Source organism: Homo sapiens, chromosome 1 (assembly GCF_000001405.40).
Source record: "Homo sapiens chromosome 1, GRCh38.p14 Primary Assembly".
NCBI lineage: Eukaryota > Metazoa > Chordata > Mammalia > Primates > Hominidae > Homo > Homo sapiens.
Window position 1 is genome coordinate 51,893,576 of NC_000001.11, and position 14,299 is coordinate 51,907,874.

A 14,299-nucleotide genomic window follows, 5' to 3' on the forward strand; every position below is an offset into this window, starting at 1 on the left:
CCTTCAAGGAGAACTACAAACCACTGCTCAAGGAAATAAGAGAGGACACAAACGGAAAAACATTTTATCCTCATGGATAGGAAGAATTGACATCGTAGAAATGAACATACTGCCCAAAGTAATTTATAGATTCAATGCTATTTCCATCAAGCACCATTGACTTTCTTCACAGAACTAGAAAAAAACTACTTTAAATTTCATATAGAACCAAAAGAGAAGCCTGTATAGCCAAGACAATCCTAAGCAAAAAGAATAAAGCTGGAGGCAACACGCTGCCTGATTTCAAACTATACTACAAGGCTACAGTAACCAAAACAGCATGGTACTGGTACCAAAACAGATATGTAGACCAATGGAACAGAACAGAGGCCTCAGAAATAATGCCACACATCTACAACTACCTGATCTTCAACGAACATGACAAAAGCAAGCAATGGGGAAAGGATTCCCTATTTAATAAATGGTACTGGGAAAACTGGCTAGCCATATGCAGAAAACAGAAACTGGGCCCCTTCCTTACACCTTATACAAAAATTAACTCAAGATGGATTAAAGACTTAAACTTAAAACCTAAAACCATAAAAACTCTAGAAGAAAACCTAGGCAATACCATTCAGGACATAGGCATGGCAAAGACTTCATGACTAAAACACCAAAAGCAATTGCAACAAAAGCCAAAATTGACAAATGGGATCTAATTAAACTAAAGAGCTTCTGCACAGCAAAAGAAACTATCATCAGGCTAAACAGGCAACCTACAGAATGGGAGAAAATTTTGCCAATCTATCCATCTGACAAAAGTCTAATATCCAGAATCTATAAGGAACTTAAACAAATTTACAAGAAAAAAACAAACAACCCCATCAAAAAGTGGGCAAAGGATATGAACAGACACTTTGCAAAAGAAGACATTTATGTGGCCAACAAACCTATGAAAATAAGCTCATCATCACTGGTCATTAGAGAAATGCAAATCAAAACCACAATGAGATACCATCTCACGCCAATTAGAATGGCGTTCATTAAAAAGTCAGGAAACAACAGATGGAGAGGATGTAGAGAAACAGGAACACTTTTACACTGTTGGTGGGAGTGTAAATTAGTCCAACCATTGTGGAAGACAGTGTGGTGATTCCTCAAGGATCTAGAACCAGAAATACCATTTGACCCAGCAATCCCATTACTGGGTATGTACCCAAGGGATTATAAATCATTCTACTATAAAGATATGTGCACACTTATGTTTATTGCAGCACTATTTACAATAGCAAAGACTTGGAACCAATCCAAATGCCCATCAAAGATAGACTAGATAAAAAAAATTGTCACATATACACCATAGAATACTATGCAGCCATAAAAAAGGATGAGTTCATGTCCTTTGCAGGGACATGCATGAAGTTGGAAGCCATCATTCTCCGCAAACTAACACAGGAACAGAAAACCAAATACTGCATGTTTTCACTCGTTTGTGGGAGTTGAACAATGAGAACACATGGACACAGGGAGGGGAACACCACACTGGGGCCTGTCAGGGGGTGGGGAGCAAGGGGAGGGACAGCATTAGGACAAATACCGAATGCATGCGGGGCTTAAAACCTAGATGATGGTTAGATAAGTGCAGCGAACCACCATGGCATATGTATCCCTATGTAACAAACCTGCACGTTCAGCACATGTATCCCAGAACTTAAAAAAAAAAAAAAAAAAGCAGTGAGAGAGAATGTTGTATTCTATCTCAGCCCAGAATAAGCTGTCCTGAGGTCATCTATTCACTCCCCTGTGCTTCTGTTGTCTTCAGTTACAATGCAATTTTGATGATCCCAAAGTCACTGTTTTAAGAGGGCAAGTTTTGCATTAAATGCTTATTTACTGTTGCTCTGGTATATTTAGAAAACAGAGCAGCCTGTTGAGAAGTAAGCATCTATTCAAATCTCCCTTCTGATTTTAAACTTCAACCATCAGGAGCCACACAACCTACTCACACCACTCTGTGTGCGGACTTCCTTGTATCTGCCCTTTCTTTTCCCTCTTCCTGGAAGGTCCTCTCAACTCTCTCCCATCCCTAACACCCAGACATTTATACCTAGAGAATACTTCCTAGTCCTTTAGCCCTGTTTCTAAACTTTCTCCTGCTCTCCAGGTACAGACAGATACCTGTCTTCTTTCCTCCAGCACTTGGTGTTACCATTTATCTCACAACTCTCAAATTTTCTGTTTCATTGGCAGAAGGACAGAAAGTGTTTGCAGGCAAAAGGAGGACATCACACAAAAAAAGAAAGAAAATGCAAATTCAAGCAGTAGGAGCATACCATCACTAAATATATTTTGAATTTAATGGATTTAATATTAATATTCATTTCCATTAATCAAAAGTGATGAACCCCAGTGGTCCCTGACCTGGAATAATTTTTAACATTACAGGGCCAGTTTAGATCATGCACCATGATGCTGGTCTGTGGGAAAATGTGGGAAAAGTAAATCAGCCTAGTCAATCTCCTATAGCATCCAAGTCCCTCTGTCTCCCCAGCTCAAGCAATCCTCCCACATCAGCCTCCCGAGTAGCTGGGACTATAGATGTGTACCACCATCCTTGGCTAATTTTTGTATTTTTTGTAATGTCGGGGTTTCAACATGTTTCTCAGACTGGTCTTGAGTTCCTGAGCTCAAGTGATCCACCCACCTCAGCCTGCCAAGGTGCTGGGATTACAGGCGTGCGCCACTGTGCCCCACCTCATCCACGTCTTAATGTTGCTTTACTGTACTCTTCTCATTGTACATGTGTCTTGTTTGGACATTATGTTCTACAGTGTCACTCCTAAAGTAGGGGGTTTTGCAAGTCTTCAGATGAATTCTTTGGTAATATCAAGGAGCTACTGACAAGAAGTTGTGAGGAGTCATCACAAGTCAGCTTGAGAAGTTGCATGTTATTCATATAGTTGAGAAAGGAGCCCTGGGTTAAACTCACTGCTTAAGAGCCATATGACCTAGGGAAAATTAGGTTATTTCTCTAAGCCTCACCTTCTTCCAAAAAGGGATATTAATTCCCACTTAATAGAGTTGTTGTGAGAATTAAATAAAATGATTGATGTACAGGTGTGTTGTAAAGGAAAAGAAAAACATGTGTGATAGATGTGCACATGAGTGTATACACAGACACTTGTGAACGAAAACGAAGGCCTAGAAGATGCTGGGTTCAAATCCTGACTCTGCCACTTGTGTGATCTTATACCAGTCCTGAATTCTTGAAACTCTCTTAATCTTAATTTTCCTCATTATAAAATACATTTGTTATAAGATTATTGTGAGGATTAAATGTCATTATGTTCAAAGAGCACTTATTACAGAGCCTGGCCCAAAGTACAAGTTCAAGAGCTGTTGGCACAGCATAAAGATCTCGGCTCTTTTTAACCTAATTCACCCGTTGTGGCCGGAATAGGTGATTTCTTGATAAACCTCAAGGTGGAGCTAGAGACACAGAAGTGGGTGTCTTCTTCAACAAGAATGTTTGGTCTTAAGGGGGAAGAAGAAGCAGACTTTCCATCTTGATTTTGCCAGGACACATCCTATCTCCCTTTAAACCACCACCCATGTTCCTCCATTATGAGAGCCTTTGGGGTTTTTTGTTTGTTTGTTTGTTTGTTTGTTTTGGGTTTTGTTGTCAAAAAAAGAGTCAGACAAAGGAGCATTCAATAGATGTTGTTCTGGTTTTGGTTTTGTTTTGTTTTGAGACAGGGTCTCACTTTGTCGCCCATGCTGGAGTGCAGTGGCACGACCTCAGCTCACTGCAGCCTCTACCTCTGGGATTCAAGCCATCCTTCTGCCTAAGCCCCCCAAAGTAGCTAGGACCACAGGCATGTGCTACCACACCCAGCTAATTCTTGTATTTTTTGTAGAGACGGAGTGGGGGAAGTGGGGAGGTTCTGTGGGGGTCGGAGTTTGGGGGAGGTGGGTGGTTTCACCATGTTGGCCAGGCTCAAGCAATCTTCCCGCCTCGGCTTCTCAAAGTGCTAGGATTACAGGCATGAGCCACTGTGCCCAGCCTAGAAGTTCTTTAATATTGTGAATTCACTTCTACTTGGAGAAAATATGTTATCTGGTACATAGAAGATGACTATATAGTTTTGAAAAAACAAACCTTTATTACATTTTATTTTCTTCTCATCCTTCAGCCCACAGACCAAAAGCAGGTTTTGTCTACATTCCACTCATGTGACTGATTTCCTGTCTGTCAGAGCCCAGTCATCTTTCCAAAAGGAATACTTATCATAGCTCCCATATTTCTCATTGGGAAATATGGGAAATAGCTCCCATATTTCTCAATGTAAATAAGACTCCTAGAAGTCTATCTTAGCATCCCAAGATTCCAGGAATATAGATTAGGTTTCAGTGGTTTTCAAATGAGCCCTTTGAAGTTATATATTGATAAGCTCATTAAAAACTCAACTCATTACTTTCAGTACCGCCTTGTAGGCTAAGTACCTATCATATATAATTAGAACCTCATGAGAATAAAAAAAAATCCGCATAAAAGATGAAAATACTACCAAATATCAGCCTTAACATGCCACTACTTTCAGAACTTAGAAAATCATTGCTACTGGCCGGGTGTGATGGCTCATGCCTGTAATCCCAGCTACTCAGGAGGCTGAGGCAGGAGAATCACTTGAACCTGGGAGGCGGAGGTTGCAATGAGCAGAGATTGCACCACTGCACTCCAGCCTGGTGACAAGAGCGAGAATCCATCTAAAAAAAAAAAAGCATTGCCACAGAAACAGAGCTTAGATTCCCCCAAAATCTAGCTGGGTAAGAGAAACCCCTTCTATGTATAAATAAAGGATGAGTAAGAATTAGTTAAGTGAAGAAGAATGAAAGGGGAGAAGGATGATTCCAGGCAGAGTTCCAGGACATGAGAAAGGTCAAAGAAAGGAATGCTCTTGTAGGTTTGAAAGTAATTGCATATGGCTCAACCGGAAAGGTTGAGAGGAAAATGGCGAGAGTTAAAACTGGAGGGGTGAACTGGAGATAATTATTAAGCCCTGCATTTTATGTTAAGGAGTATAGACTTTATCCTGAGAGAGGGGGAGCTACCAACATGCATCAGATGAGGCAGAACAATATCATTTCCTGCTTTAGAAAGATCATTCATGACTGCAAGACAAAGAACGGAGGAGGGCAAGGCTAGGGGGAAGGTGTGCTAGATATTTTCTGTTTGCATCTCCAGATACAGTAAGTCTTCAATGTCATCGATAGATTCTTGGAAACCGTGACTAAGGGAAACAATATATAAAGAAATCAATTTAGCTGTAGGCTAATTGATATAAATAAGTTCCTATGGCATATTTCTGGTCACGAAACATCAAACATCTAAATAAAGACCCAAAACACTTCTAATATTAAACCTTGAAATATAATAAATGTGAGCTATACATACATTTAAGAAAGATTAATAAAAACAAGTATAAGATAATTATTTTCCCAATTATTCCAGGTCAGTGTTACAGGTCGCCAGAGCCTATCCCAGAAGCAGAGCACAAAGCGGGAACCAGTCCTGGACAGGACGACATTCCCTCACAGGGCACACTCTCCCACACGCCACACTCACTCAGACTGGGACCATTTAGACACACCAGTTCACCTAATGTGCACATTTTTGGGATGTGGGAGGAAATTGGAGTACCCAGAGAAAACCCACGCAGTCATGAGGAGAATGTGCAGACTTCACACACGGTGGCCTCTGCCAGGAATCTATTTTTTTCATCAACGTTATAATGAAACGTCGTTGAACATAATGACATTATTCGAAGACCTGCTGTACTCCCTCTACTTACCTGCTGCATATCCCAGAAGTTTGACCTATGTGGGCTCCTGCTGGACTCCTTTGCCCTCTGGCTTTTGGTTGAGTCCGGCATTGGGAGATAGCAGTAGGAGATCAGAGGTCATGGGGAAAGACAGGTCCAATAATTTATCCCCCACCTCCCTCCCTAGCGAGTCTTTGTGTGAGGACATTTCTCTCCACCAAAGGTCACTGCTCTTAGCAGACAGCATCTGCCACACAACTGCCCTCTTCAGATTCTGGTAATCAAATCACTCCCCCCACATCCCTTGTTACTACCTTTGGGTAGTGATGATTAGCTAGCTGTTGCTAGCTAGCACTGGGGAAATTTTGTATCCCTTTTTGGTCTCTCTAAACCCTGCACTCATTTTGTAAATGATTCCTTTATTAAGCACTCCTCAAATTATCTAGTTTGAGTGTGCCATCTGATTCCTGCAGGACTCTGAAACAGAAAGAAACCAAGAATAGTATGGTAGCTAGCATTTATTGCCTCCCAGGCATTCTTCTAAGCAGTTTATATATATTAACTCATTTAATTCTCACAGCAACCCTAAGAAGTATCCCTCCTTTACAGATGTGGAATCTGAGATATAGAGAGATTAAGGCGATTAAGTAATTTTCCCAAAAATGCACAGCTAGTGAGCCAGAATTCAAATCTACATAGTCTGTTTCCAGAACCTGTGTTCTTAACTACTAGGCTCTTCTGGTGAGGTAAGTTGATGGTGTAAATTGCAGCAATAGGCTGGGCACGGTGGCTCATACCTATAATCCCAGCACTTTGGGAGGCCGAGGCAGGCGGATCACAAGGTCAGAAGATGGAGACCATCCTGGCTAATACGGTGAAACCCCGTCTCTACTAAAAATGCAAAAAATTAGCTGTGCGTTGTAGCAGACACCTGTAGTCCCAGCTACTCGGGAGGCTGAGGCAGGAGAATGGTGTGAACCTGGGAGGCGGAGCTTGCAGTGAGCTGTGCCACTGCACTCCGGCCTGGGCAACTGAGCGAGACTCCGTCTCAAAAAAAAAAAAAAAAAATTGCAGCAATATCAATGGAATGGGGAAAAATGAAGAAATTTCAGAGAGATTGTTGCTAATCCCAGGAGGATCAATTGAGGGCAAGAAGCAATGAGATGCATTGGTTATGAATACAGATTTTTTTTTTTTTTTGAAACTGAGTCTTGCTCTGTTGCCCAGGCTGGAGTGCAATGGCACGATCTTGGCTCACTGCAACCTCCGCCTCCTGGGTTCAAGTGATTCTCCTGCCTCAGCCTCCCCAGTAGCTGAGATTACAGGCACTTGCCACCACGCTCGGCTACTTTTGTATTTTTTTAGTAGAGACAGGGTTTCACCACGTTGGTCAGGCTGTTCTCAAACTCCTGTCATCAGGTGATCCACCTGCCTTGGCCTCCCAAAGTGCTGGGATGGCAGGCATGAGCCACCGTGCCAGGTTTTTTGTTGTTTTTTTTTTTTGAGATGAAGTCCTGCTCTTGTCACCCGGGCTGGATGAGGCCTCAGCCTCCCAAGTAGCTGGGATTACAGGCGCCCACCACCACGCCTGGCTAATTTTTTTTTTTTTTTTTTTAGTAGAGACGGGGTTTCACCATGTTGGCCAAGCTGGTCTCGAACTCCTGACCTCAGGTGATCCACCTGCCTCAGCCTCCCAAATAAAGTGCTGGGATTATAGACGTGAGCCACCACACTTGGTTCTTAATAAATCTTTATTAATAAATCATCCCAGAGAAACAGGGGGGCGCCTGTTGGAATTTAGAAATATTAGCTCTAAAGTGCCATCCTCTGTGGCTGAGGACAACCCTGAGATCAAACCAGCCCTTCCTTTCCTTTGGATGCCCACAGTACTTTTGTTGTTTTTATGACTGTCTTTAACTCTGATATCACATTTATTGGTTTATATGTCTCTCCCCGCCAAGCTCCACTAGTCCTGATTCATACTCTTATCCTTAGTTACTCTCATCATATGAAGCACATAGTAAGTACTCTATAATATTTGTTGAATGAATGAATGACTCAGTACTCCTAGGAAATTATTCCCTGAGTGCCACTGCACTCCAGCCTGGCAACAGAGTGAGATTCCATCTCAAAAAAAAAAAAAAAAAAAAAGGGCTTGCTGGGACCGGGCGCAGTGGCCCATGCCTGTAATCCCAGCACTTTTGGGGGCCAAGGTGGGCGGATCACCTGAGGTCAGGAGTTCGAGACCAGCCTGGCCAACATGGTGAAACCCCATCTCTACCAAAAACACAAAAATTAGCCAGGTGTGGTGGTGGGTGCCTGTAGTTCCAGCTACTTGGGAGGCTGAGGCAAGAGAATTGCTTGAACCCAGGAGGCAGAGGTTGCAGTGAGCCAAGATTGTACCACTGCACTCCAGCCTGGGCGACAGAGCAAGACTTCATCTCAAAAAAAAGGGGGGGCTTGCTTCCTGGAGAGGGTTTGCCCTTTTTGCCCCTTCTGTTTTTTCCACCTTGTGGGGATGCAGCATTCCTCCCCTCCAGAGGTTGCGGCAACAAGGTGCCATCTTGGAAGCAGAGAATAGCCCTCACCAGACACCAGTTGTGATGGAGCCTTTCCAGCCTCCAGAACGGTGAGGAAATAAATTTGTACCATTTATAAATTTCCCAGTCTTGGGTATTTTGTTATAGCAGCACAAACAAAGATAAGTGGAGTCCTTTGGAAGAGGGAACAAGTGAAGGAAGGGAAAGGGGTGACGCTGATCCTAGTAGTCAAGAGATATTTATGCAGATCTAACTTGCTGAGGTTGAGCAGTCTTATGGAACAGAAGTATTTCTAGAATCATATTTTTAATATAATGTAAAGAAATCTGCTCATGTGATGGGTAAAATATATATATATATACATATGCATATTGTACACACACACACACACACACACCTATGTTGAAAATAGCTACTTATTTTTAGCTACTGTTCTTTTAAAGAGTTGGTTTATTGAGTCATACAGAGACAACCCAAGTATTTAATGTAGACAATTAATAGCTGATTCAAAGACATCCTATATATCCACTGTGCAAAGCAGAAGCACACCATTAAGGAGGGGCTAGAGGCCTCCCTTTCTATAGGCACAATTTTTATTCAGGCAGCTCTTGCAAAAGCTGGGAGTTGGAAAAACGGCTCCCTGGCTGGGGATTGTGGCTCATGACTGTAATTTGAGAGATTGACGTGAAAGGATCACTTGAGGCCAGGAGTTCAGGACCAGCCTGGGCAATATAGCGAGATCCCATCTCTCAAAAAAATTGTTTTTGAATTAGCCAGGCATGGTGGCATGTGCCGGAGTTCTAACTACTTGGGAGGCTGAGGTGGGAGGATTGCTTAAGCCCAGTAGTTCAAGTTTACAGTAAGCTATGATTGCACCACTGCACTCCAACCTGGGTGACAGAGTGAGACCCTGACACTGCCCCTCGCCCCCAAAAAGAAAAGAAAAACAGTTCCAATAGGTGTGCAATAGTGGACTCTGTTTACTGTTACCAACTCATTCTTGAATAAAAATAGGGAAAAGAATTCTCCAACTTAAGCAGACTGCAGAGATTTTAGGAAAGGATTTAAATAAGACCTTGGACCAGGAAGGACTTTAAATTTGTGATGGATTAAACAGTTTTCTTCACACACCTCTCTAGAACTAGCTAGACTATGATTTCTCCATTCTTTCAATGTCCTTCCAAAACACCATCATTACCACTACCCTTCAGCTAAAACGTCTAAGTTATCAGCAACTTCCTTGTCTAGGTATCATCCCATCTGTTCAGAATAAGCATTCGGTTCTCTTCATTCAAAAAATGGGTATTGGATACCCTCAATGTGCCAGAACCTGTGTGGGACCCGGGGATTGAAAAGGAAACAAAACGTTCTTCCCCAACCTCCAGAAGCTCACTACTAGTGGTGGCAAAGACTCACATAACTAGCTGGGTCACCTAACACTCTGTATCTTAAAGGATCTCCCAGTAGTATCCCATAAAACACTGGGTGCAGCTGCCAAGGCCAGAGGAGGTTGAAACGTGGATGGTTGAGAGAGGTCCTCTTCTTTGCTTCTCTTACTGCCAGTGCTGGAGTGGGTTCCTTTGAATGTGTCCCATGAGATGTGATGGGGGCTGTGTTTCCAGCACCAGTCCGTATTCTTGCTATCAGTGTGAATCCCTGCCCAGGTTTCAGAGGCTCTTCAGGATGTGAAGGAAGACAATACCCTACTCCAGTGCTACACTCAGCCAAGAATTACCTTGCTCCTTCCTCCTTACTGCATTGTAAATTGACCCTCATAGCCATTTTCCGTTAGAATAGATGCAAATTCCAGTATCACTGACACATCCCAAGCCACTGTTCCCCTTCAATACCTGTCCTGATTCCTGAGTTAGTTCATTGCTTCCATCTATTTCCATTTTCTTGGTAACTGTATTCATTCAAGAAGGATTTATACTAGGCAGAAGTACAATGTAGAGGTTAAGGGTGGAAACTCTGGGAGTTCAATCCCAGCTGTGTGTTTACTAACTGTATCACCTTAGGCTGATTAACTGTCCTCTTTGTTTCCTCATCATAAATTGGGGATAATAATATTACCATAAGGATAATAATAGAACCTGTCTAATAAGGTTGTTGTGAGGATTAAATTGATGAATATATAAAGGGCTTAGAATAGTGCTTGGAACCTAGTAAGAGCAATATAAATGTTAGCTAGAATTGATCTAAGTTCTAATATTAACTCATTTAATCCTCAGAATCACCCTAAGGGGTTGGTACATTTATCAATGAGAGATTTTGTAACAGAGGTTTTAAGTAAAACAGAGGCTAAGTAACTTGCCCAGGCCTCTGACAGTACTGCGTGAACAAAACAGGCAAGATCTCTGTTATCACGGAAATTTCATGAAACAAATAAAATAATTTCATGATGATAAATGCAATGAAGAAAACAAAATAAGATGAAGGTAGGCCGGGCGTGGTGGCTTACGCCTGTAATCAATCCCAGCACTTTGCGAGGCCGAGGCAGGCAGATCACCTGAGGTCAGAAGTTCGAGACCAACCTGGCCAACGTGGCGAAATCCTGTCTCTACTAAAAATACAAAAATTAGCCGGGCATGGTGGCACATGCCTGTAATCCCAGCTACTCTGGAGGCTGAGGTGGGAGAATCGCTTAAATACGGGAGGCAGAGGTTGCAGTGAGTCGAGATCATGCCATTGCACTCCAGCCTGGGCAACAGAGCAAGACTCCACGTCAAAAAACAAAACAAAACAAAAAGATGAAGGTATGTGATAGGGTCACTTCTCTAAGGAAGTGACATTCCAGGGACTTGTTGCCCGTTCCTGCTACTGGCCTGTGTTCAGAGCCACTGTGGTTTACCTTAACACACTTCAACAATTCTGCATCTTGGTGAAGCTACTGGAGTCTCATTTCCTTTGTTTAAGGAGGTCCCCAGACCCCTTAATGGCTATTTGCCTACTGCTTATTTGTTTCACTTCACAGGAAAATGTATTCTGCATCATTGGACAATCTACTCCACAGATAACCAGAAAATTACAATATGGCACAGGAAGTTCTATGGCAAAGGAAAGGAAAAGGGGCTGTGGCTTCCCAGAGGAGGTACCTAACTGAGCTTGGTGGACAGAGGAGTACAAAGAATAGTATATGCAGAGGCTCTCATCTAAAGTGTGCCCCCCAAAATAAACAATAAATAAATAAATAAATAAAGTGTGCCCTAGTCATCTTCTCAAACCAATGAAAGCTTGACTCTCATTTTTCTGGTAGCCCTATAGTTTCAAAATACTGTTTACTTTGTGTGTGAAGGTAGAGGAAACAGGCACTTCCAGGATATTGCAGGCAGTAGTGCCCATGAGGAGGCCCTCATACTTCTGCTGGGATCTCTTGGGTACCTCAAGTGTTTCTATCTTCCACCAGGACACTGAGGAGGCAGGGCGGGCGGCAGCTTTACTCTCAGCCTGCTGCTAGCTCATATAGCACCTGGATTCCTTTCCTAGGGCTGCTGTCACAAAGTACCACAAAACTAGGTGGCTTCAAAAAACAGAAACAGATTCTCTTAACAGTTCTGGAGCTGGAAGTCCAAAATCAAGGTGTCAACAGGGCTGGATGCATCTGGAGGCTCTGAGGGAGCATCTGCTCCATGCCCATCTCTTTGCCTGTGGTGGCTGCCAGCAATCCTTTGCATTCCTTGGCTCATGGCTGCAGTGCTCCAATCCCTGACTCCATCCCTGGAAAGCCTTCTTCCCTTTGTCCCTCTGTCTGAATCTCCCTCTCATCCCTTTTCTAAAGACATCAGTCGTTGGATTTAGGGTCTACCCAAATGCAGTATGGCCTCATCTTAACTTGATTACATCTGCCAAGATGCTATTTCCAAATAAGGTCACACACACAGGTACCAGAGGTTAGGGCTTCAACATATCTTTTGGGAGGATACAATTCAACCCATGACTGCATCTTTGTGCAGAATGGAGACATTTGTGCCCGCTCTGGATGGATGCTGCCCCTATGCTCATGGCTTAGTGAGGAGACAGCACCCTTGTGTGAATTACACCAAAGAGCCCTTTCTCCTAGTGCAGCTCCACACCAGGACCCAAGGCTTTGCACTTGGAATCTAGGCTGATTTCAACCCCGATTTAGCCTCCCTCTGGCCCACTCAGCAGGACACAGCCTGTTCAATCATATGTACTGACCTTCGACTACTCTGCCCTCAGCTGGCTGCTTCCACTCTGCCCCTCCCCACATTCCTACCCATCCTATTCCTTCCATCCCCATATCCTGAGGGTATAACCCATTCTCATTCTCAGTCCAGTTTTTGGATGTCTTTTGTGGAATGATCTGATTCTGTAGCTCCTGTGACTAGCTGGTATGTTTGCCTGGACAACATCTATTCTCTTCTCTTCTCTTCTCTTGTGGAAACAGCACCCTAATTTTCCTTTGGGGCAACCATCCCTCTCCCACTTGCAGTTCCTCTGGTTTGGGTGGGACTGACCCCACATTCCAACTTGAGATTGGCATAAAATCTAGTGTTGGCCAACCAGAACACCCCATCCCCTGGCATAATGATTAATCCTAGACTATTCTAAACATGACCGGGACTTTTGCCAAAACTACTGAAGGAGAGCCATTCTCTCTGTCCAGATGGCTATATGAATAGGATAAGCCCGGAGTGGCCTGAGAATAAAGCTGACCCAGAGAAAACTGATGCTAAGAGAGAGAATCCTGATAATATAATTTAGTCACCTGCTTCTATCTAAGCCTAAAGCTAGATATAGCCCAGGACTTTATAAGTAACATGAGCTAACAAATTTCCCTCCCGCCATGATCCCCTCTTTTACTGTGTGACTACTAAAAGTGGGTCTCTGTCCTGTAACTGAAAGAATCCTATCTAGGGACTCTTTAAAATGCCAAAAAAGAAAGAGAGGAAAGAAAAGAAAGAAAAGGAAGAAAGGGAAGGAAAGGAAGGAAGGGAAGGGAAGGAAGGAAGGAAGGAAGGAATTCCAATCTCTGAATGCATCTCTGACACCTCCGTTATCTCTGCTCTGTGCTTCCAAAGCTCTGTGTCCTCCCTGGCCCACCAGGGTCTCCATGCCTGAGTCCTGGCAGATGAGTAGGAGTTAACTAGGCTAAGAAAGGGGAAAGGTTTCCTAGCACATCATGGTGGAGATAGGTGTAAAATTGGACTGAATATCCCGCCTACTTAGACTCATTAAACTTTTTGAGGAGAGGTGGGGGTAGGGAGCAGGTTCTGCCCCTTCCTGGGGCTGCCAGTTCTGTCTACATTTGGTTTCATTTTCCTGTGGGCTCTCTACTTTCCAGCTCAGCAGCTTTGTTCCCACGTGCCATCCAGCAGTGTATCTTAAATCTCTGCTATGAGCTAACACTGAGCTAAGCTGCTGGGAGGCACACATTGCCCCTTGTTATTCTCTGCAACCTCTACACCACCTAGCACAGAGCCACAGCCCAGCAGGTCTCCAGAAGTGCACACTAATAGGCATTCCCTGACCTCTTGCAATGTCAGTCCTTCCTTCACCATGAAGCCTTCCCTGACTGTTGTAGTCCATCCTGATCTCCCCCTTTCCTGAGTCCATCATGAGCTATTGCATCATATTGTGTCTTTTGTTGCACTGGTGCTGGACCTGTTTCCCAGTTCCTCTTAAAGATTTCTGAATGCAAGAATCTGTACCCAAAGTTCTTTTTTTTTTTTTTTTTGAGACAGAGTATCACTCTGTCACCCAGGCTGGAGTGCAGTGGAGCGATCTCGGCTCACTGCAACCTCTGCCTCCTGGGTTCAAGCAATTCTCCTGCCTCTGCCTCCCCAGTTGAGCTGGGATTTACAGGTGCCCACCACCACATCTGGCTAATTTTTGTATTTTTAGTAGAGATGGGATTTTGCCATGTTGGCCAGACTGGTCTTGAACTCCTGACTTCAAGTGATCCACTTGCCTTGGCCTCCCAAAGTGCTGGGATTA

The 14,299-nt window shown here is 43.5% G+C and overlaps 1 annotated feature.

The window, feature by feature from the left end:
• Window positions 3,752–4,951: an enhancer, noted in NCBI's record as "P300/CBP strongly-dependent group 1 enhancer chr1:52362999-52364198 (GRCh37/hg19 assembly coordinates)". NCBI's record gives its function as "activates an origin of replication core promoter dependent on BRD2, BRD4, P300/CBP, MED14 and CDK7 cofactors, with strong dependence on P300/CBP, by STARR-seq in HCT116 cells {active_cell/tissue: HCT116}" and the evidence as "EXISTENCE:reporter gene assay evidence [ECO:0000049][PMID:35650434]".